Consider the following 2,279-nt stretch of genomic DNA (forward strand, 5'->3'; position numbering starts at 1 on the left):
CACAGACCCGCCTCTGACTTCCACCCCTCTGGATCCGTCAGGTTGTCCACTGTGCTTCTGATCCAGCGAGACGCCCATTGCCGCTCCCAATCGGGCTGGAGGCTCGCTATTGTTCCTGCATGGCTAAGGGCCCAGGGTTCGTCCTAATCGAGCTGAACGCTAGTTGCTGGGTTCCAGGGTTCTCTTCTGTGACTCACGGCTTCTAGTAGAGCTATAACACTCACCGCATGGCCCAAGCTTCCATTCCTTGGAATCCGTGAGGCCAAGAACCCCAGGTCAGAGAATAAGAGGCTTGCCCCCGTCTTGAGAGTGGCCCGCCATATCTTGGGAGCTCTAAGAACAAAGACCCGCACGTAACAGTGGTATCCTATTGTGGTTTTGATTGATCCTTGGGGGCTAATGACACCCAACATCTTTTCATGTGCTTGCTGGCTACTTGTATGTCTTCTTTGGTAAAATGTCTGTTCAGCTTCTTGCCTGCTTTCAACTGGGTTATTTGTCTTGAGTTGTCATAGTTCCCTATATATTCTAGATACAAGTCCCTTATTAAATGTATGATTTGTGAAACTTTTCTTCCACTCTATGGGCTTTTTCACTTTCTTGATGGTGTCTTTAAATCATATATGTTTTTAATTTTGATAACCTCGTAGGACTTTAAACGGTGAATTATTTTTTCTTTGCCTTTGGGTCATTAACAAATAGACATTAATAAACGTGGTGATAAAAATGTTTGCTAAGGAATACATGGTGAAGTGATCTGTAAGAGGGAATTCCAGATTAATATAAAAGGCAAAATGAATGGATAGAAACTGTAGCATTAGACGAAACAGCAGGAAGTAGGGTACGGTGGGAGAAGATGTGGTGTGGAGAAGGGCAGTCCTATATATGCAGGAATCACTCCAGTTGCCGAATACCAAAAGGCCCCTCTTCAGTGTCATTGTCAGAAGGAAATATCCTTGAGGGACAGAACTCACGTAATTAAGGACAACCACAAGGAGATTATAGTTTATAATTTTCTGCATGTTCTTAGAATAAACAGACCCCCCATAGCAATAACTACTTATTAATGAAGTCAGGTGTGCATGCTCATTCCTAGCCTGGTTAGTCTATGGCATGCACATAACACAGAATTTTTGATGGATGAATATTTATTTATGCATGAGTAGCACGGATATTACACTTGCAGATGAAGCCAGAGTTCCAGGTTGCTATCATCATTGTATGAATAGAATGGAGTTGTTTTTCCTTATTATTTTCCTTGTCTTTCTCCCTTCACCTCCCCCAACCTTGCCACTTCCCATCTAAACACAGGAATATACTAATCAGGGAAATATGCACTGCTGTTTAGCAAAGGGGTCAAACCCATTTGGATGGAATTCCAGGCTCAGCAGGCTAACAATGGCAGGAAACTGGGCCCTCAAGCCGGCTGCACCGGGGGGCTGTTGAGCGATAGCTTGTTGAAAGAGGCGGCCCTGGGGTATGCTACTTTGGCTTGCTTTATGTTTGGAATGCTGCGATTGTTCCAGACACAATGAGGGATCTGTCTGTCCACACAGGAGCAGTTATAATTACAGGAACAGAAGCTAAATTACTGCTCTTAATTGCAAATGATTCCATTGCAGCCTGTATACAACTCTACTAATTTGTCCTCTGGGCTTTATGGGGGCAGGCAGGATTTTTAATTTAATGTCTTTGGTGATTATGCTTTATGTCCACTTCAAATTGTAATGCCCTGCCGGTGAGGCCAGGGTCCCTTCTGCTTCAAGTTCATACCCTTCTGTACTACCTGTCTTGTTGATTTTGATGATTCAGGCCAGTACATGATGTTGCCTCTGCTGAGAAGACAGGGTGTTCAAAGTGCATCTGACTCTGGTGTCCTAAAACCTTGCTTTGTTGCTGCCTTTAAGGGGCAATCATAACATCCTGTAGAGAGGTCTTCTTGTGTATGTGACTTAGGAAACACTTCCTACTTAGGAAAGAAGGTTGACATCTGGCCTGGCATTGTGTTCTGGAAAAGGCAGCTGCAACAGATGTGAGTTTATAGCAAACATCATCAATAAGTGGATGCTCTTTTATTGTGGAGTAGGATCTCTGTCCCTTTGTCTGTTAGGAAGTGCTTTGGGAAGATTCACCACCCTTGATAATTTAAACATCATTCCTTCATTCATTCATTCATTCAGCAACTGTTATTTGAAGGTCTACTATGTGCCAGTATTAGGAGTGGGATGAAGAGTAGAGTAAGAGAAGGCCTACGCTATGAGCTTACAGTCTCTGTAGGG

General features: G+C 43.6%; 2 annotated features.

Annotated features, from left to right (window-relative positions):
• Positions 1,068-1,673: an enhancer, noted in NCBI's record as "OCT4-NANOG-H3K27ac hESC enhancer chr6:11650363-11650968 (GRCh37/hg19 assembly coordinates)". NCBI's record gives its function as "activates a minimal SCP1, AML or CMV promoter by ChIP-STARR-seq in naive and primed H9 embryonic stem cells {active_cell/tissue: H9 hESC(naive and primed)}" and the evidence as "EXISTENCE:reporter gene assay evidence [ECO:0000049][PMID:30033119]".
• Positions 1,674-2,279: an enhancer, noted in NCBI's record as "OCT4-NANOG-H3K27ac hESC enhancer chr6:11650969-11651574 (GRCh37/hg19 assembly coordinates)". NCBI's record gives its function as "activates a minimal SCP1, AML or CMV promoter by ChIP-STARR-seq in naive H9 embryonic stem cells {active_cell/tissue: H9 hESC(naive)}" and the evidence as "EXISTENCE:reporter gene assay evidence [ECO:0000049][PMID:30033119]".

Source organism: Homo sapiens, chromosome 6 (genome assembly GCF_000001405.40).
Source record: "Homo sapiens chromosome 6, GRCh38.p14 Primary Assembly".
Taxonomy (NCBI): Eukaryota; Metazoa; Chordata; class Mammalia; order Primates; family Hominidae; genus Homo; species Homo sapiens.